This window comes from Homo sapiens, chromosome 2 (genome assembly GCF_000001405.40).
Source record: "Homo sapiens chromosome 2, GRCh38.p14 Primary Assembly".
NCBI classification, from domain to species: Eukaryota; Metazoa; Chordata; class Mammalia; order Primates; family Hominidae; genus Homo; species Homo sapiens.
The window spans coordinates 1,679,641-1,700,710 of record NC_000002.12 but is presented as its reverse complement, the minus strand read 5'-3'; the positions used below and the strand labels follow the sequence as shown (position 1 = coordinate 1,700,710).

At 46.8% G+C, this 21,070-nt stretch overlaps 1 protein-coding gene across 5 annotated transcripts in view, besides 4 other annotated features; it reads left to right on the top strand.

Moving 5' to 3' along the window:
• Positions 1-21,070, top strand: part of PXDN (peroxidasin) — a 113,015-nt gene that overhangs the window by 44,191 nt on the left and 47,754 nt on the right. For 3 of the 5 annotated variants that reach the window (XM_011510396.2, NM_012293.3, XM_047445788.1), the window contains exons 2-7: positions 7,577-7,648; positions 8,712-8,783; positions 13,008-13,079; positions 16,560-16,631; positions 16,984-17,055; positions 20,349-20,518. In XM_011510396.2, coding sequence (XP_011508698.1) covers positions 17,045-17,055; positions 20,349-20,518 — 181 coding nt within the window. In that variant the 5' untranslated portion in view covers positions 7,577-7,648; positions 8,712-8,783; positions 13,008-13,079; positions 16,560-16,631; positions 16,984-17,044. The remainder of the gene's footprint in view (positions 1-7,576; positions 7,649-8,711; positions 8,784-13,007; positions 13,080-16,559; positions 16,632-16,983; positions 17,056-20,348; positions 20,519-21,070) is intronic. The other 2 variants (XM_047445789.1, XM_005264707.4) reach the window with 1 other exon arrangement.
• Positions 5,056-5,796: an enhancer, noted in NCBI's record as "H3K27ac-H3K4me1 hESC enhancer chr2:1698687-1699427 (GRCh37/hg19 assembly coordinates)". NCBI's record gives its function as "activates a minimal SCP1, AML or CMV promoter by ChIP-STARR-seq in naive H9 embryonic stem cells {active_cell/tissue: H9 hESC(naive)}" and the evidence as "EXISTENCE:reporter gene assay evidence [ECO:0000049][PMID:30033119]".
• Positions 7,717-8,216: an enhancer, noted in NCBI's record as "H3K4me1 hESC enhancer chr2:1696267-1696766 (GRCh37/hg19 assembly coordinates)". NCBI's record gives its function as "activates a minimal SCP1, AML or CMV promoter by ChIP-STARR-seq in naive H9 embryonic stem cells {active_cell/tissue: H9 hESC(naive)}" and the evidence as "EXISTENCE:reporter gene assay evidence [ECO:0000049][PMID:30033119]".
• Positions 13,331-13,845: an enhancer, noted in NCBI's record as "H3K27ac-H3K4me1 hESC enhancer chr2:1690638-1691152 (GRCh37/hg19 assembly coordinates)". NCBI's record gives its function as "activates a minimal SCP1, AML or CMV promoter by ChIP-STARR-seq in naive H9 embryonic stem cells {active_cell/tissue: H9 hESC(naive)}" and the evidence as "EXISTENCE:reporter gene assay evidence [ECO:0000049][PMID:30033119]".
• Positions 13,846-14,359: an enhancer, noted in NCBI's record as "H3K27ac-H3K4me1 hESC enhancer chr2:1690124-1690637 (GRCh37/hg19 assembly coordinates)". NCBI's record gives its function as "activates a minimal SCP1, AML or CMV promoter by ChIP-STARR-seq in naive H9 embryonic stem cells {active_cell/tissue: H9 hESC(naive)}" and the evidence as "EXISTENCE:reporter gene assay evidence [ECO:0000049][PMID:30033119]".

The window sequence follows — 21,070 nt, the reverse complement described above, 5'->3', positions numbered from 1 at the left end:
GTAGAGACAGGGTTTCACCATGTTGGCCAAGCTGGTCTCGAACTCCTGACCTCAAGTGATCCACCCACCTCCGCCTCCCACTGTGCCTGGCCTTGGTTGTGTTGCTGTATCCTGTGTGTTCTCACTGCTGAGCAACACGAATGACAAAGAACCACAACATCATCGCCGTGATTTACTTCAGGAAGGCACATTCGAGTTGAAATCCTGTACCTTAATGAGGAGCTTAAAATGATATTTCTGCCATTAGCTTCAAGATAATTTTTAACATCGTGACCCAAATGTGATCAAAAATCTTAGGTAACATGTTAAGATGCGCAAAATACTCAAAGAAAAAAAAAATCCAGACAATGGCTGGATGTGGTGGCTCATGCCAGTAATCCTAGCACTTTGGGAGCCTGAGGCGGGTAGATCACCTGAGGTCAGGAGTTGGAGACCAGCCTGGCCAACAAGGCGAAACCCCGTCTCTACTAAAAATACAAAAATTAGCTGGGCGCAGTGGCATGCGCCTGTAATCCCAGCTACTTGGGAGGCTGAGGCAGGAGAATTGCTTGAACCCGGGAGGCGGTGGTTGCAGTGACCTGAGATCGCGCCACTCCACTCCAGCCTGGGTGATAGAGTGAGACTCTGTGTCAAAAAAAAATAAATAAAAATACAAATCTAGACAACAAAGATAAAGTCATAATAAAAATATATTGAGAAAAAGACAATTCACCTCTGCAATGCATAGCTTGTGGGGAATATTTGCAGGTAACCCCTGGCTCTTATTAGTTAGAAACATAGGCCTATCTTACATGACTAGTGCAAGAAGAAACAAAAGGCAAGAGTTCCCATCACATCATGAGAGTAACTTCTTACATTTCAATGCTCTCACCTGAAATTTTCATTCCATAATTGAGATAATTTTCGTTCTCGAACCGAACGATATAGTGTATAACTTTGAATTTGTTGGCAAATTGGCAAACTCTTATTTATTTTTGTTTGTTTGTTTGTTTGTTTTGGTGAGACAGAGTTTCGCTCTTGTTGCCCAGGCTGGAGTGCAATGGTGCTACCTTGGCTCACTGCAACCTCCACCTCCTGGGTTCAAGGGATTCTCCTGCCTCAACCTCCCGAGTAGCTGGGATTACAGGCACCCACCACCACGCCCAGCTAATTTTTTGTATTTTTAATAGAAACGGGGTTTCACCATGTTGGCTAGTCTGGTCTTGAATTCCTGACCTCAGGTGATCCGCCGGCCTCGGCCTCCCAAAGTGCTGGGATTACAGGCATGAGCCACTGTGCCTGGCCAAATTCTTAATTTTCTATATTTAAAAATGAATTCAAACACATCTGAGACTTGCGTATGGGAAAAGTCAAGATTGTTTTATTTTAAAAATCAGTATTATGGAAGGTATTAGAATAAACTTTATAACATAATCTTTAGTGACCGCTTTTTAGAATTCATAACTTTGGCATGATTAAATTAAGCATTACCAAGTGGTCTGTGCATTTTAGTTTACTGTGAAAGGGAATCTAATGGCAAAAGTCCCTGGAGGGAATTAGATTAAAACTTGGATCTCCAAGCTTCCTTTTAGTTCTAACCTTCAACTATTCTGTGGTTCTGCAGTGACTTGTGATTTTGATATTGAGTGTAAACCTGTACTTTGATGTTTCGTTCCAAACACTACAATTCTTGACATTTTTTTTTTCTGGTAGGATTTTTAGTACATTAAGATTTGAGAATAATGGAAACATTACAGCAAAACAAAAGGAAACACAAAAACTACCCTAAAACTCCTTGACTTGAAGTTCACTTGCTTTTTAAATGTAAAATGTAAATGAATCTGTGTTCTGTTTTTGAGACTGTAAATTGAAAAATTCATAGTTCATGCTTAATAGTTATTGCAGTCTTCTCTTTGAACTTGAGAGGGCTTGTGTTGGCGTCGACGTTCCCTAAGTAGGTCAGAGGCAGCGGCTCTGCTCTAACACTTGGGAGAACTCTTGAATGTAAGTGGAAGAGTCTGGTGAATTCTACCAGGGAGGATTAACCTCTTGAAATGCCTTCAATGAGAGCAATTTTAATGCTGAGAAAAGAGCCCTGGGCCGACTCTAATTGCATTTCTAGTTCTGCCACTTACAGACTGACTGACTTTAGACAAATTACCTGATCTTTCTTAGTTTCTAAATTCCGATTTGTCCAGGAAAGGGATTTCTTCTAACCTGGATCTCATTCTCTCCTCCCTTCCCTCAGTCAGCCACCTTCATGTGCTGTGCCTTAGTGTGCTCGACCATTTCCCCAGGACGTGCCTTTGTTACTCTGAAGTAGGGGGTGACCTTGCCCTACAGTTATCATTTCTGGGAGCTCTCGAGGGTTCCCTGTATGCACCGATCTTCTCCAAGTGCAGGTGCTGCTGCCTAGCTCAGAGGTTGCCTCAGATCCATGCTTTGTGTGCTCAGTGAATGAGCTGATAAGACCCACTGGAATTGCAGGGGATGTTCACAATGGATATTTACAGAGTTTTGCTGTTTATGAAGGACTTTTCACACACAAACTTGTCGTCCTTCTGTGACCTTGTTCACCGCTGCTTACTGTCATTGGTGCTTTATGGTTTAGGGCCCCAGGCTTTAGAAGGGATGCACCCCTCACGCTTACCCAGGCAGGGGTGTGGCGTTTTTATCGCAGTCTCCTGGGGCTTTGGCCTTGGCTTCAGCAAGAGTTCATGGATGCCCTGCCTGATGTTAGCCCTCAGTGTTCATCTGTGTTCCACTTGCTTTAGTAATCACGCCACTTATAGGTTTCCCAGAACTTTCTACAATCTGTCTCCATGCTCATCATGCCAACTTACTTCATAGAGGGCGTGCCAGAGCCCCTTGCTTGTTGGGAGAAGGGTCCTGCAGCTGCGGAGGGCAGGTGACCCAGTGGTCCACTCATTGGCATGTGGCACACAGCTAGGACCACGCCGCCACATCTGCCAGGGTCCCTCTCCAGTACCCTCAGCCCCCTGGGGAGACGTCACTGCAGGAGGACGGGGTGGGAGCACGGAGCCCCAGGGAAGAGCCAAGGAAGGCTTGTTGAAGTGCTCTTTCAATCTTTAAAATTTGGGGGAAGTTTTTCCCCCCCCGTTAGGATTATTTGTGGAACTATTTATTATGATTGTTAAAATAATAATTCTGTTTGTCAAGCTGTTGAGTCATATGTAGGTGCATAATGCAGGGATCAAATGCCTCCCCACAGTCTTATTCTGCCCAGACATGTGCAAAGCTTATTTTAAAAATTGTAAAGTGGGGAGCACTTACATGTGGCACTTAAATTTAAGTACTTTTTAATTGGAGAGTTTAGCTTTACATTTATTGTAAGCTTTATGTCAATGATGACCAGTAAGCTAAGGATCAGACGTGGAAATGCAGAGGAAACAAGCAAATGCCTGCTACTAGTGTTTATGAGTTCGCCTGTGTGTGCAAATGCTTTTCCTATATCTCCTCACACGCACACTTAAAAATATACATAGTGTGTATTTGCGTTATATCTTCAGCATTCCCGAAGAACAATGACTTCCAAACTTTACCTTGCTTAGAATCACCTGGAAATCTTATTTGAACCCACGTTACTGGGAACCACTCCCAGAGTTTCTGATTCTGGAGATTTGGGGTGGGGCCCAGAATTTGCTTTTCTAACAGGCTCCCAAGCACTGGTGCTGTGGAACAGACCCCTCCTGAGCTCTCTAGAATCTCGCAAGTGAGAAATGATTCAGGCAAAAATCAGCCCTTGTATTTGTCTTCGTGACCTTGAAGTTGGGGTTCATATTTGAAACGAACGTTGGCTTCTTGTGTCTGTGGTGTCTTCTTGCCCTGAGCTTGTCTCTCAGGGATGGAGCCACAAGAACCTGGACCCTCTGCCCTTTCTGTTGCTCTGGAGCAGGAGGGTTTCTGAGGCAGCTGCAAGTCCCCTCCAGTAACACGTGTGCAGATGTAGCTGTGTTGTAAGTCAGCCCATCCCAAACACACGGTCCGGTTTGGTGACAATCTTTCTAGCTCCTTTCATGTGCTGTGGTATCAGACAGAAAATGTAAACACACACACATGCAGATGAATATGTGTGGTATAACTATTGGTGTATGAGTGTTTCTTCATCTCTGTTCCTCAGATTAGATCATTTCTAATGTTGAGTAGCTCCCAAGTCCTCTCCCCTCTGCAGTATTCAATATGTTAAGTCCATGCAATGAGCTTTTCATTTCAGCTATTATATTTTTCAGTTCTAGAATTTCAGTTTGGTTCTTTTTTTATGGTTTCACTTTGTCTTCTAAGATAACCCCCTTTGCAGTAAAGGGGACCGTTTGTTTTACCCTCTTCATAGTAGAAGTCTTTTTTGGTGCTCTGCCTTAGAGCATGGTGGGAGGTCTAACTGCTGTGAGCAGCTTGTGAAATGATCCCCTTAACCTAGACCAGTGCCATCCACAGAAATGTGATGAGAACTACTTATGTCATTTAACATTTTCTGGTCACTTTGTGAAAAAACTAGAAATAAACAGTTAATTTTAAAAATGTTTTATTGAACTCTGCATGCCAAACTTGTACATGTTTCAGCATGCACTCAATATAAAATTTTATCGAAGATATATTTATGTTCTATTTGTTTGTAGGAAGTCCTTGAGGTCCAGTGTGAGTTTTGCACTTTTACTCAACACTGGCTACCTCTCAGGTGTTCAGACACAGGGCACAGGGGCCTGTGGATGGGACAGCACCTCTCTGTCCATCACTCTAGGCCACCTCTCAGGTGCTCAGACCCAGGGCATAGGGGCTTGTGGATGGGACAGCACCTCTCTGTCCAGCAGGGCACAGGGGCCTGTGGATGGGACAGCACCTCTCTGTCCAGCAGGGCACAGGGGCCTGTGAATGGGACAGCACCTCTCTGTCCAGCAGGGCACAGGGGCCTGTGGATGGGACAGCACCTCTCTGTCCAGCAGGGCACAGGGGCCTGTGGATGGGACAGCACCTCTCTGTCCAGCAGGGCACAGGGGCCTGTGGATGGGACAGCACCTCTCTGTCCATCACTCTAGGCCACCTCTCAGGTGCTCAGACCCAGGGCATAGGGGCTTGTGGATGGGACAGCACCTCTCTGTCCAGCAGGGCACAGGGGCCTGTGGATGGGACAGCACCTCTCTGTCCAGCAGGGCACAGGGGCCTGTGAATGGGACAGCACCTCTCTGTCCAGCAGGGCACAGGGGCCTGTGAATGGGACAGCACCTCTCTGTCCAGCAGGGCACAGGGGCCTGTGGATGGGACAGCACCTCTCTGTCCAGCAGGGCACAGGGGCCTGTGGATGGGACAGCACCTCTCTGTCCATCACTCTAGGCCACCTCTCAGGTGCTCAGACCCAGGGCACAGGGACTTGTGGATGGGACAGCACCTCTCTGTCCAGCAGGGCACAGGGGCCTGTGGATGGGACAGCACCTCTCTGTCCTTCACTCTAGAGGTTTTGGTGGCACCGACTTCAGATCTGGGGAAAGGCCTGCATGTCAGGAAGGTGGTTTTGTGGCTCTTCCTGCTGTCTTCCCAGGCTCCAGGAGCCAAGTCCACATCTTGCTTTCCAGCTTCCACGCTGTTGCCGCTGCCTCCTCTGTGGCTTGCGTGTGGGTTCCCACGGGGAATGAGGAGCCAGAATAAGTGGGGCTCACTCCATCCTCTGCTCTGGAGGAGCAGCTTGGTTTCTGGATCAGATGTGGTCAGAGTTGATTTTTGCTCTAAGCTGTGATGCGTGGCTCGGCCTTCCGGGACAGCCTTTCTTACCTGTTCAAATGCTGGGAAGCCCCTCAGCTTGCTGTGTCTCAGGTACGGGAGCTTCTTTGCAATTGTTTGTTTATCCTGAAATTGCAGCTGGTCAGAATTCTCTCCTTATCTGTACTTGATCTGTGTCTTCCGTATGGAGTGAGTGGGCATCCTGGATGGCTGCTTTCCCCTCCCGTGTCTTCCTCCAGCACCGCCTCCCAGTTTCGATGCTTCTGACTTTCAGCAGCTCCTACGTGGAGAGTCCGTGGAGCCACTAGTGATATTCTGAATATGAATGTAAATTAAAATCTCATCTGTTTAGAGGGGAGCATGGCGGTGCAGGGGGAGGGTGCGTGTGAGGAGACTGTTGGTGGACAGTGGGTATCACTGAGGAAAGCGAACCCGGGTGCGAGGGCACGGCGTGGAATGATGGCCAGGAGGGCCAGGTGGGCAGAGGGGGGCCGCCTTCCCCTTCTCCTCCAGGAGAACTTGACCCACAGCACAGGGGCGGCGCTGGGAGGGACACATTTCATTCACTGACATCTAGGCTGGATGCTGTTGCTGTCAGTGACACAGATACTTTTTTTGAAGTATCTTATTGAACCATGAACTAGAACCAATTCTACAAACTACTGACAGTGATTACATTGGCATAGGATAATCAGATTCCTTAGAAGGTTATAAACATTTTATGTTATCATACCCTAATGTCCTGACCTTACCTATGATACCCTAATGACCAAACACCTGAGGCACTGGGGCTGAGCATTTCAACATGTGGATTTCGGGGAGACACAGTTCAACCCGTACCGATCCCTACTGGACGATATTAAAAGAGATTGGACCTATGATTAAGGAATTTAATTTTTCTAAGAGTATTTGATAAAGAAATTGGTCTTTCTGTTTATTTTTCAGTGGTTTCTATACCTGTTCAATTTATAGTTTTAATTCAAGCTGGGATGGGCTGTCTGCAAGGGTAGAGCCGACGCCTCTGCATGTCTGCACTTCCCATCGCTGCCTTCAGGCCTCTGACCTGGCTGCCTGTGCTGCCCCCAGGCCCGTGGCCTCCGTGGTTGGGGCCTCCCAGCTTGCTCTGCCTGAGCATCAGATTAGCAGGAATTGAAGTGTTTCTCTTTCCAGCACCAGATTCAGTCTCTGTGTCGATTCTGGCGTACTCTCTGGTCTCTCATGGGCTATTCGGATCCTCTCTCCACCCCCGAAATATGAATAAATAACTGCCTTAACAGTGGACGTTTAACTTTACTGAAAATGCCTGTTTGGAACCATTAGGGTAAAACCCATATGTGAGAAAGCCTATTTTCCCAGTTAGCGTGCTGAATTCACTTTTGTGGTTTTGAAACATTCAGTTTAAATCTCATGAAGGTAGCAGTTTAGGTCGTTGACTAAGGAAGAGCCTAATTCCAGCTCAGGAAATCACTGGAGTAAACTCTAAGGTGTTTACTCAGTTGCACAGGTGGCGTGACTCTCTTCTTGAATGTCATCAAACCTAACCTGTGTTTATTATCCTAAGACTTATCGACACGACATTTTCCAGTGGGTTGCCAGAGATAGGGTGCTTAGGTAGTTTATGTAATTTTTCTCCCCATAATTACTGTTTTTAGAAATTCTGTAATGGGTTACTGGTGTTCCACCATTCAGACACATATTCATACACTTACTAGCCTCAGTGAAAAAGAAGATTCATTGAAGGAGTGAACTGGGTGGTTTAATATTTTAAATGCATTGTCACCATTTTGAAACTAAGAGCAGCAAATGTGTAGCGATGTTTGTAGATTTTTTTTCACGTAATAATACCTTTCTTGTTTCTTCACAGAGATCTTCGCTTTAACAGAATCAGAGAGATCCAACCTGGGGCATTCAGGCGGCTGAGGAACTTGAACACATTGTGAGTGGAAATATTCTATTGGAAACTAATAGAAAAATAGAAATCATTACATTGTTTATCTGTAGGTAGAACTCATCATCCACAATCAGTGGGCTTGGGTGGGGAAAAGTGGAGCAGGAAAGTGAGGCTGGAAAATGCCCCTGAATGCCAGGACTGTGAATGCCAGGACTGTGGCCACTGTGTTTCTCGTCTCATGGCTGTGTGCCTGTCTGTGGCATGTTGATTGGGACCCATGCTGACCGCTAAGCTTGTCCCTGGCCTTCATGTGGGTCACTTGCTCTAGAATCACTCAGTCCTTGCTGGGTCAGGCTGACCTCTGTGTGTTCCTGCACCTCCTCCGTGGCAAGATTGAGCAGGACAGTGCTTCTTCTGAGTGTGGAGTGGACTTAAGTGAGGGTTCAAGGCAGTCCCATGATGCCTGGAGGGAGCAGGCAGGGCCAAGTCCAGCGTTGCTGTGCAGACCTCAGGCTCTGCAGGACACGCCCAGTGCAGTGGAAGCTGGTTCCCTTCTGCACCAGGACTGAGCACAACGGTGTAAGAGCAGGGTCATGGGGACTGTGGGACTGTCTGGGCCGCCTATCCACTGTTGACCCTGGAGGGCAAGTGGCCCGGGGTCTCTCACCCCAGGCCCTTGTCTGTGCGCTCGAATGGAGCACGGGCCACAGGGCCCACCTTTCCTGGCACGTCTGTCCACCCGGACCACCCTCCCACCATGACTGCCTTAGCACTGGCCACAGTCCTGGCTAAAATAGAAAATCTAAGAGACAGCAGGATAAAGATACAAACTCCCTTCTATAGGAGAGAAGGAATTTTTTCTCCGCTGTATCAAAAGGTAGTAACTGTGGAGTGGTACGGACACCATTGCTCAGCAACGTTTTCTTCATGATGGTTAAACGCGAAAGCTGTGTTTTGTCCTGCGGGTTCAGCGTTCGTTGAATGTTGATGGCGAGGCTGTAACTGAATTGTCAATGTGACCTTTTCCAAGGCTGTCGGAATGTTTTAACACAACTTCGAAGTTTGTTTTCTGTTGTTTTTTAAAATTCTTATCGACTCTCTTTCATAGGCTTCTCAATAATAATCAGATCAAGAGGATACCTAGTGGAGCATTTGAAGACTTGGAAAATTTAAAATATCTGTAAGTTAATGATCAGTTCTTTAACCTAAAAGCTTATGGTATCTAGATTACTTAAAAATAGAGCTAAATTTCGTGCTGCTTATGAATTATTGTAAATATATTCATTTAAATGAGGTTTTATTTTGAGAAGGTGAGTAAACATTTAGCTGGGATTATTAAAATAGCTTGTCAGTGATATAAAGTGCTACATTATGTGATTTTTAGTGTTTCATCACTAAGCCTTAGTAAAGTGGATTGCATAAAATGAAAATGCACAGCCTCTGAAAATCGCTCTGGAAATGATGGTGATGCTTCCAGAGGGGAAAGTGATGACCCAGTGAGTTGCCGATATGAACAGCTGACGGGTGTGTTGCAGAAATCAGCTATCAAAATAGTTTCCGGTCGCCTTGCCAGCTGCAGGTGACATGTAAACTCGAAATAACTAACCCCGGTGGAGTGTCACTAATTCCTGCAGATTTTCCTGTCTCCCGCTAAGTGATTTCACCTCTTACTTTTGTGCAGTTAAATTTTATTTCACTTTTAAAAACTGATTTTAATCGATTTATTTTCATTTAACATATCTTCTGCTCGTTGAGATCAGTTTTGCAGTTTAGAAAATGAGCTTCCTGGGAAGTACTGGTTTAGTCTCAGTCACACACATACTTGCTATAAAATTGGAAAGGTGACGAAGTGTGTGTCGTGTGCTTTTAGAAGAGTATTCTTTTAAGACTTAGTCACTTTCCAAAGAGAGCTATTTTTAATAAAAATTATTTCAGCCATTTTTGTTGGAAATTTTTATCATATGTGAACCTAAACATGTTTAAGTTATTTTGATTTTTTTTTATTTTACTTTAAGTTCTGGGATACCTGTGCAGAACGTGCAGGTTTGTTACATAGGGGTACACGTGCCATGGTGCTTTGCTGCACCCATCAACCCGTCATCTAGGTTTTACACTCCACATGCATTAGGTATTTGTGCTAATGCTGTAGTTATTTTGATTTTTAAAACAAAGTCGTCTTGTTATTGTTGATGTATACTCTGAAATCTGTTTTGATTCTAGCTGTGTCTGTGACTGTTAATTACAGAGCTACCTTTAACTCTGTTTATTAAAATATATTCCCTCTGTGCGATATTTGTCAGTGTTACATACATCCTTTTTCCCTCCATCATTGTGGCATAGGATGTTAATTTTTAATTTCATATAAACATGATGAAGCCTGGTCCCACATTTCTATTTCTAAAATGAGAGGCAGGCCTTTTATTTGTTTATTTACCCTTTTTTTTTTTTTTTTTTTTTTTGGTATTTTGAATGTTGTGCAAGTTCCAGAAGAGGGCTTTTGTTTCCTGGAAAGTAGATCCAGTCAGCTGATAGCCAGCATTCCTTGTGTGTGTATATGTGTGTTTAATAGGTTTAACAGGTTTTTTAATATTTTATTTCATTTTTTGTCACTGGTTTTGAATTATTAAGAGCAACTTAGTATGCACTCAGCAAACACGTTCAAAGTGGAGTTGTTGGGGATGCTCTGTTTTCACTGATCTCTTTTCAATAACCCTCTTCCGACCTCATCTGCTGCACAGCCGGCTCTGAGCGCCCACACTCCAAACTCTTCCCTCTCTCCCTCGGTAACAAACTGCGGTGTCCCTGGTGGTGGAGGACACAGATCACTGGGGTGGAAGAAGCACAGGCCAGTGGTGAAGGGGCCGTGGGTCATGACTCAGAAACGGACTAAAGACCAGGGCAGTGGAGGGAAGCTGTCCAGAGAGGCCCGGGGACCCTTTCACCCAGCAGCTGCAGCCTCCGCTTCTCAGCTCTCATTGGTGGAGTACATTTGATAAGTGCTGATTTAGGAAACTGTGTGAGAGTTAAATGCTGTGATTTCACCTGTGTACAACCTATATGCTTAAGAGCTCTCCTGAAATTTATTCATTATTTCAGCCTTCTATATTGAGTCAGTACCAAACTATACTTGTAGAGGTTGAGTAGTTCTTATTTCTTGGAACTCCAATTACTTCTAGTAAGGCATAAGCCTTCCCTTTAGTTCACATTGCTTAATGAAATTATTTCTTGAGACAGTTAGGACTCATTCAAGGGTCAACTCTATGATGAAGTAGAAAATCACAATTTATTATTATGGTCAATACTCACCCTTTTTTTTTTTTTTTGAGGTGGAGTTTCCCTCTTGTTGCCCAGGCTAGAGTGCGGTGGTGTGATCTCGGCTTACTGCAACATCCACCTCCCAGGTTCAAAGGATTCTCCTGCCTTAGCCTCCTGAATAGCTGGGATTACAGGCGTGCACCACGATGCCTGGCTAATTTTTTGTATTTTTAATAGAGACGGAGTTTCACCATTTTGGTCAGGCTGATCTCAAACTCCTGACCTCAAGTGATCCACCCACCTTGGCCTCCCAAAGTGCTGAGATTACAGGCATGAGCCACCACGGCCAGCCAATACTCACCTATTCTCATGAAAACAAATTACGTTCCAATGTCTTTATAAACACACATTCACACATGTTAGTTTGATTCAGTTGTCCTGTGTATTCTTTAAAAAGATTCCCTTTCATTTTTTAAAATGGGTCTAAAGCGATGTTCTCATTGATACTTTGTTTTTGTTTTTCTTTTTAAATAAATGGGCACAGAAAATTACATTTAAACTTGCCTTCTGTAGAAGTATAGTAACAACTCCCATGTGAACAATGGTTAATGTGTGCAGGGGCCATATTGTAAGAGCTTTATATATATACACACACATTAATTTCAACAACTTCTGTCCATTTTAGAGAAGAGGAAACTGAGGCCCAGTCATTACGTGGAAGTTCAAGGATTCCCACGTATGCGGCCTAGAGAAGTAACAGCCTTGCCAGGCCTCTGCTGCGGGCACTGGGCTCTCGGTCGCTGGGGAGTTCTGGGTGGTTCGTGTTAAGGCTTGTAACTCTTTATGAGGTCAGCTCTGCAAATTCGCAGGGAGGGAGGACGTGAGAGCCACTTAGATGGGTTGTAAGAAATAAGGTTAGCAGGGCTGGTCCTGTTAAACTGGATCCTGCACCAGACATTATTAATTAAGTTACAATCAAACACTCGGCCCTTCTGGATATGAATTATATAATATTATAAGCATTAAGACAAAAAATGTTGGTTATTTAGTGGAACGAGTAGGTGAAACCCAGGCATAAGTAATCAATTTTGAAGAGACGTGTCTGCCTGAATTTGAAAAGTAGGAAAAGCGTGGATTTTGACTTGCCCATCTGCCTATGTCAGAGATGGAGCCCAGGGATTCTAAGAAACGGTAGTGGCAGGGCTCCCCATGTCTGGGCACAGACACAGATTCACAGCCTTCTTGGGGTCCCCCAAGCTGCTGGCCTAGAGCTGTGTTGTGAGGCAAGCTGGCTGAAGGCGAGTCATGTCCGAGATGGGTGGGCACAATGCGCATGGTTTTGTGGCTCTTTTTGGAATTGTGATACTTTGGTGTGGAAATTTTCATCCTCCATCAGGCTTGGCAAGTGTTTTCTGTGCAGGACCAGTCCTCTGTGAGCTGCGCAGTCTCTACTGGGACCACTCAGCTCGGCCACACAGCGCCAGCGCAGCCCCAGATGGTGCGGAGTGAGCGAGTGTGGGCGTGTTCCAGCAGAGCTTCATTTATGGACGCTGGCATTCCAAGTTCACATGTTAGGAAATAGGATTCTCCTATTGAGATTTTCCACCATTTTACACAAAGACAAGAGCCAGGCCAATTGTGTGGCTCTTCCAGTATGCCTCTGTTGCTTCTGTTTTCTAAGAATGGGATTCTAGGGGTGAGTTATTCAAGGTGCATTCGGTCTTCATATTGTCCACTCCCCAAATTATTTCTAGGTATTTTGGAGATGTATCAGTATCAGTTATAGAATCTTACAGCCAATGCATTATACATGCCTGTGGAAAATGGTTTTTATCTTCTTCAGGCTTTGAAGCAAATGTATTGTCAGCAATTCATTAGCCATAGTCTAAGGTCTGTGAGTTGCCTGAAAAACCCGTCGCAGTGGTTTGATCACCTTCAGTTGGCACCGGTTGCTTTTAGCCCCCTTGAGATCTGAGGGAAGGGAAGCCCTTGGGAGAGGCACTGTACTCACCGTGCAGATGGTTTGTTTGCATTCTAATACAGTCATTAATTGTAAAACTGTCTCCATGTGTCAATTTAATTCTTCTTTTCCGTCTGAAGTTTGACCTCCTGTCTGTGTGCTAATGCTCCCCAATGTTTCTTGTTTCAGCTATCTGTACAAGAATGAGATCCAGTCAATTGACAGGCAAGCATTTAAGGGACTTGCCTCTCTAGAGCAACTGTAAGTGCCCCTTCTCTTCGTGCTTTAGTTCTTGGATGCCGTCTGGCTGTTTTCCTCTTGTAGGGACCAGTGGAGTGAGCTAGCTGTTTGCATGATGCATGACTATGCTACCTGAGGTGCGGGGAGTACGTGCATGATGACGGAAAAACAGGGATGGGCGAGTCATTTGCCCTCCGCCCCGCCTTCCACCCAGCCAGCCCTCCACCCACCCCTCAGGACGTATCCCTGGTTTCCTTACGGCGGCACCAGGCCCTGGGCCATGCTTTCCTGACACCAAGGACAGTAATATCGATGGAATCCCTGTCACAACTTAGAGGAGAGACAGGCAGGCGCCCAAGTCCGATCAAGGCATCCTTCACAGGGGAAATATCCAGGGTGCCCGGGGAGGAGAGGGCTCTTTGCCTCGTTCACTGTTCCTCCTTATGACTGTGAACACATGAAGCTGAATTTCTTCAATTGTGGTGACATTATTTTGGAGAAAACCTTTCTTTCCCTTGTAGTTCTAGTTAGTGTATGCAGTGTGTCATGAAACGCTCTTAGTTTCTTTGGCCAACGTGAAGTCGTACTTTGCTGTGAAGTCAGCGTGTTGATTTTTCATTACAATGTCCTGGTAAAAAGGAGGATTTGTCCTGGTTTGTTTGCTCGGCCAGTCACCTTTCACTCGGCAAACTGAGCCCATTCCTGAGGAGCTGCAATTTGTCACGGTTTTAGGAATGTGGATGAAAGCAGCTGTTTGCTGTGACGCAGCGTGACGTCCTCCTGCCACAGCTGCTGATCCGTGGTCACGGGTCACTGGCTCACTGGACACAGCGATGTTGTCAGAGAGTTTGAGGCCAAGCGGTGCAGGGGGGAGACCACTCTGGGATTGTGCATCCTGAGGACCCACGGTGCTCATGTTTCCGAAAGTGTGTGTTGATTCAAGTGAGCGTGGACAGGGCGTGGGTAGATTTGGGAGGAGGTCTGTCTCTACAGAGAAGGACAGTGCAGCTCATTGCAGAAACACATGGACGTATCCAGGGAACACCCAGATGTAGGGAGAGCTTGCAAAGGAGCAAGTTCTCATATCCAACAAGCGTTTCACTCAGTGGGGGCGAGCAAATCTTCATAGCAAACAGTTCTTCCATCCTGAGTGGATCGGAAAATCCTCATCTGGCTTTGTGCTGGGTGAGTCCAGTGTTATTTTTAAGGAAGGAAAGGGCAAGTCAGGGGAGAAACGAGGCTGAATGAGGAAGGGCATCTGTGAATCACCAAGTAGATGTTTGCTGAAATTTTGGATGATGGGGAGGGCTTCTTGAGCTGGCCAGGCTGCCTTTAGCACCCAGGGTTAGGTGAGCTGGGGTCTCTGGTGCTGCAGCTTGGGTTCCATTCGTTAAACGCTGTACAGTGAGCCTGAGGGCAGCCCGAGCCCCGCCCTCGGGCAGGGAGCTGTTGGGGAGGGGATAAGCGAGTCCACCAGACCTCAGTGAGAGACTTGGGCAAAGGGCTGTATGTCCAGGGAGGGTGGCTTGTGCCTGACCCTGGCGAACTGCACCCCTTCCCCGGATCGGCTCTACAGCCCAGAGCTATTGAAAACATGCATTCCTGGTGACACTGGGAGACCGGAATGCAGGAATGCCCGGGAGCCCGGATGCAGTCCAGGGGGATCTGAGTGTCCCTGATCCAGAAAGAAGGCTCTTTGGGAAGCTGTGGACACAGGTCAGAAAACACACCTGGCCAGTCAGGAAACATGCGTTTGAATTCAATGATGACCTCAGTATACTTGGGGAGCCATTTCCTGTCTTTGGTCCTGTTTCCTCAATTGTTCAGGGAGGGGTGGAGGACACCCCAGGCTGCCTGGGGCCCCAGCCTCTCTAAGATCCTGTGCACCCTGGGCCGTCATTTCCCGTAGCACCTGTGCAGCAGGTGCCAAGTCCCACCCACTCAGCCGTCCCCCTGGCCAACCTGCATTGCAGTCTGGGTGGAGGGATTTTTACACCCATCGCTCTCCGTGGGGCTTGAAATACCCCCTTTCCTTCCCTCGGTCAGTACCTCCTCATCCTTCTGGGCTTTGCTTGGGGGACTCCACCCCTGCCTGCCTGCACTGAAGCCTCGCTGAGCAGCTCACAGCCACTGTGCCGTGGTGGTGCCTGGGTCTTACATCGGTCCCCAGCTGCCATGGGCTGTGAAAGGCCAAGGACCCCAGAAAACCACAGGCGCCCTGTCAGCACACTGCCTGGCAGAGACGAGGCTCCAGGGATTCTGTCGGGTTCGGCCTTCCTCGGGACCCGCGCGTCAGGTGCCCGCCCGTCATGCTCGCCCACGGCGGTTTTCCTTGTCTTCCTGCTCCAGTTTTTCCTTCCCTCACGTTTCCCATTCGTGCGCGGAGTGCTGAGCACAGACCTGTCCCGGGGCAAGGGGCAGGGATGGTCTGCGTTTGGGGGCCCTCCGGCTGCAGGTGTCCGCAGAGACTCAGTGTGGCCTGTGTGGGTGCTGCCTGGGGAGCTGGCCCCGGGACGGGGCGGGCCCTGGCAGCCGCACTCTGGTGCCCTGGTGGTGACGGTGATCTCAGGATGTCCACAGACCTGATTCTCAGGCGTGCGTTCTGAGGAGTCCTCCTTTCTGTGGAGTTATGAAGACCTGTGAACGCTGGCATGCTGCTTCTTTGCTCATTTTGGCCTCCTGAAGAAGTAGTCACTGAAAATGTGTGCTGGTTGCAGGGGACACCTGAGTGGGCAGGAGGGGTCTCCCAGCAGAGCACCCCAGGGAGAAGACTGACTTTGTGTTTGACTTAAGAGGAAAAAACCCACTTTTCAAAATGAGAAATTTCGTATTCAGGAAAAATTAGAAAGAATGAGTTATATCAAAAGGTATAAATTGTTGAAGTATGGTAAATGGAAAGAAATAGAAACACTGGGTATTCTGTACAATCAACGACACCCGAGGAAAGATGGTCTCTTATTTAATGCTTCAGGACTGATGGAGAAAGTTGTGTGACATTCTTTTTGTGTTTCCTTTGTGGTCTTGAAGGATATCTTTGTATCTGATAATATACTCTGTGTCAAAGTATATGATGATGCCCCTGCCAAATTTATACACGAGTTAAAAGATTTGAGGGAAGGTATTCACCTATTTATGTATGTGCTATCATTAAAGTTATCCTTTTGATTTTTGCTTTTTTCCATATATTTTGGAAGTGAAAATGGCCGAGTCAGGCCAGGCCAGCACTGCCCTTCTCACGCGGTGTCAAGGACCTCAGTGAGCACCTCTAGGCCTCCCTCGCCCTTATCCAGTCACTAGGGTGGACATCTGTGCCTAGTGTTCAGTTGTATTTATTGAATCATTTGATAATTTTATGTATTGTTCATACAATGTAGGAAGTCTAGTGAGTGAGCTATCTATTGATATCTGAATTTGAAATGACTAGGAAAAAAATTTGGGCAAAAATCTGGATCTAAGAAAATAAATTGTAAGTTATACTTTTTTTTCTTTTAACTCCTCTAGATACCTGCACTTTAATCAGATAGAAACTTTGGACCCAGATTCGTTCCAGCATCTCCCGAAGCTCGAGAGGCTGTGAGTTGTGTGTTGTTCCTTGCCTTTCCATTCACAGAGCCCAAGCCTCAGTCACTGGCTTGGTTAGATTAAGGTCAATATCTACCAAACACCTGAAAACTGTTTCAATATAAAATCCATATTTCTAGTCTAACAATTTGGAAATAGGACTTATAATTTTCTCTTTAATTGAGAGTGTTGATAAAACAGGAAAAAAAAACCATTTCTTTTGTTTTCAGATTCATTTGTATTAAATAAATGTAATCACTGAGATTTTTTTAAAGCTGATATATATTTGACTGCTTATATTCTTTTCTACACATTTTAAGAAATATTTTTCAAAATTGGTTTGTTATAAAATCTCTTTCAACAGATTTTTGCATAACAACCGGATTACACATTTAGTTCCAGGGACATTTAATCACTTGGAATCTATGAAGAGATTGTGAGTATAAAACCTTTTGTGTTTTCTTTGCTGCAAAGCCTTCTTTCTCTCTGTTATCTATTCACCTGGTTCTTTTTCAAGTATTGTGAAATGTTGATAACAATCTGATTCTGAAAGAATGAGAATATATGGAGGGTGGATTGAATCCATTAGAGAGCAAAATGAAAAACATGTGGCTCAGACAATGTGGCAAGTAGTTAATCCTTTGATAGGCAATTAAGACTTAAAAAAATTTTTTTTCAGATAGGGTCTTGCTCTGTTGCCCAGGCTGGAGTGCAGTGGCATGATCACAGCTCACTGCAGCCTCAACCTCCCGGGCTCAAGCAATTCTCCCAAAGAGCTGAGTAGCTGGGACTATAGGCACATGCCACCATGCCCAGCTAAGTTTTGTAATTTTGTGGGTTTTTTTTTTTGGTTTTTCTTTCTTTTTTTCTTTTTTTGTGACAGGGTTTTGCCATGTTGCCCAGGTTGGTCTTGATTTCCTAAGCTCAAGCGATCTGTCCACCTCAGCCTCCCAAAGTGCTGGGATTACAGGCATAAGCCACCATGCCCAGCCATTAAAGACGATTTAAATCGTCTTTAAATTCATCAAATTAATTTTTAATTCCAGCGCATATTTTACTGGTAGAAATAAAACCAGTGTGGAAAGAACCTCTGTGCTATATTCTGTGTCTTTCTACAGCATACTAAGGAGGCTGATCTTTACCCTTTTTTTTGAGACAGAGTTTTGTTCTTGTTGCCAGTCTAGAGTGCAATGGCTCGATTTCAGCTCACTGCAACCTCTGCCTCCCAGGTTCAAGCAATTCTCGTGCCTCAGCCTCCCTAGTAGCTGGGATTACAGGCGCGTGCGACCACGCCTGGCTAATTTTGGTATTTTTGGTAGAGACAGGGTTTCACCATGTTGGCCAGGCTGGTCTTGAACTCCTGACCTCAGGTGATCCGCCCTTCTTGGGCTCCCAAACTGCTGGGATTACAGGCGTGAGCCACCGCACCCGGCCTCCACCCATTTTTTAAGGCTTCCAAATATACTTTTTGCTTATACTGAGCTATTTCTTATAATTAAGGCATTTTAGGACTGGTGGAGAAAGTTGTGACATTCATTTTGTGTTTTCCTTCATGGTCTTGAAACCGTTAGTTTCGGTTAGATATTACTGAGTGTATTCAGTAAACTAGACCTAGAAAGAAACAGAAAATGCCAAGAGACAAGCCTAACTCCAGAGTGGTCTTATGTGATTTGTTTTATCTCTTCAGTGAAATAAAGTGGAGTAAAACATAGACCTTCAGAACTATATGTGATTTTTTTTTTCCTTTAGGATAAAAATACCACAAGCCAAACTAAAAACTACATCCTGGGTAGGAAGATGGGATGAATACTTCCATATTTGATAGATAACAGAGAGGAGAAAGAAATCACCAGATAAATGCTCTAGAAAGTAGCCAAGACAAGTTTAGGGCAGACTGGTAACAGCCTGGATTATGCTGACAGCTGCCTTCTCTCTGTTCTCAGCCTCTCTCTGGGTGTCTGGCAAGGTCCCCCTCTCCTGTTTGCTCACTTTACTAAAGTTGCTCAAACACTACAACCCCAGATTGAGATTCTGTGATAGATTTACAGAGCTGCATCAAGAGAACACGCTGTGTCCTGGCTGCTGTCTGCTCGGAGCAGTCTCTAACCTCACATCCCTGAGGGGCCCCAGGCGGAGGAGGCCACGCCAGCTGCCCCACCTCTCTAGACCTCCTGAATAGCCCTCTCTGCTTCAGAGCAGATGAAGGTTGGGGGTCCTATGCTTCCTTGGGTGCCCTGAGCAGCTCGCTCCACCAGGACCGACTGGCCAGATGCCACATACCTGACTATGACCATCTGGGTCTTGCATGTGCCTGTGGTCCTGTACTGACCTTCAGCTGTGGGCACAGGTTGGGTGCCCTGGGCACGTGGCTGACACTGTCCCCCTCACAGCCTCCTCACCTGAGAGCTGTGCACCTGCTCACGGGGGAAAGGGTGATTCTGGTCGTGAGGCCAGTTCTGTGTTCCTGTCGCCTCTGGGCTCATGTCTGGGAGAACCTCGGATGGGAGGTGTAGCCTCCCCTTCCCCTCCTGGAGCCAGCGTCGGCCCCTAGAGATGCCCTCACGCTGCCGCCCTGGTGAGCACCTCTCGGGATCCCATCCCCATCTCGGGGGTGCCCTGGGGCCACCTCATTGAGGGTTAATAGTGAGCACGTCTGTTGCAGGACTTTTCCCTAGTTCAGCGAAAGATGGGGTCCTTGTTACATGGCCACAAAAATTTAGGCTCGCAGACTATTTGAAGAGTGAGAAAAATGGGATTTATTGGGCAAAAAGGAAAAAAAAAAGGGAAATAGAGACCCTCAGCAAAGCAAGATAGTGTGTTTCCTGCCATGGGCTTCCTGCCTCACAGATTGAATTCCACCCAGGAAGAGGAGGGCCAGGCTTCTCCCCGCCGCAAATGGCACAAACCTCTGTGGGCTCCACCCCAGTGTGCACCCCTCCCAGTGCACAGGCCGGCTGGAGGGGCCTGGGGACCCCTTCCCACCTGGCTGTCTCACATCCAGCTGCCAGCCTCTTCCAACCCTTGCCCTGTAGCCTGTGTTTGCTACCTGGAACTCCTCTGTCCCCCAGACAACTTCTTCCCCGTGTGCGGAGACAACACTTTTCCCAGGGTGCAGGCACATCCTGCCCGTGTTCCCCTTGTTGGGACAGGATGTGCCACTCACTAGAAACTTTCCAGGTCAGCTTGGACCTCAGGAAACTTAGGTGTGAACCCCAGCCAGGAGATGCAGCCCCCCTTCCCACACTGCCTGGGAAGCCTCAGGCCGGAGGGAGATGATGTAGAACTGTCCTGCCCGTGATGATGGGCGTTGAGTGACAGTGGTGGTTTTGTGGCTGTGGTTTTCATGTTACTGATTTCTGTGAGTGGCTCCCACCTGGTCTCCTTCACAAACTTCCCTGACCTGTGCCGCTGGCACACTCCCTCGCCTTGAGCTCGACACCCGATGCCTGGGTGTGCACAAGCCCTATGCTACTCACGCCTCTACGGTTAGTGCCTTGAGGGGCACTGTGCACCCCTGGGCTCTTCCTGGTGATGTGTGTGTCTCGACATCACTCCCTGAGTCGGGCACCGGGGCTCAGATTCCACCACGAGACGTGTCCCATCCCCATGTCGCAAGCCTGGCAGGCCTGGCACATGTTTCCCGACGCGGGACCTGGAAGCCCTGTCTGATGGATGGATGGACAAGCCCAGCCACCCCATGTCTCACCGGCTGCATCTTCCTTCCCACAGGCGACTGGACTCAAACACACTTCACTGCGACTGTGAAATCCTGTGGTTGGCGGATTTGCTGAAAACCTACGCGGAGTCGGGGAACGCGCAGGCAGCGGCCATCTGTGAATATCCCAGACGCATCCAGGGACGCTCAGTGGCAACCATCACCCCGGAAGAGCTGAACTGTGGTGAGTGGCCCGACACGCACACACCATCCACACACTCACACCATCTACACACACACCATCCACACACACACCATCTACACACACAACATCCACACACCACACACACACATTTACACACACACCATTTATAGACACACGCGCAGACACAAACCACACACACGCACATACACGCATACACCATCCACACACACACATACCATTTACACACACACCATTTACAGACACACACGTAGACACAAACCACACACACGCACATACACACACACACCATCCACACACACACCATTTACACACACACCATTTATAGACACACACATGCAGACACAAACCACACACACGCACATACACACACACACCATCCACACACACACCATTTACACACACACCATTTACACACACCATTTATAGACACACACATGCAGATACAAACCACACACACGCACATACACGCACACACCATCCACACACACACAGCATTTATAGACACACATGCAGACACAGACCACACACATGTGCCATCCACACACACCATTTACACACACACCATTTATA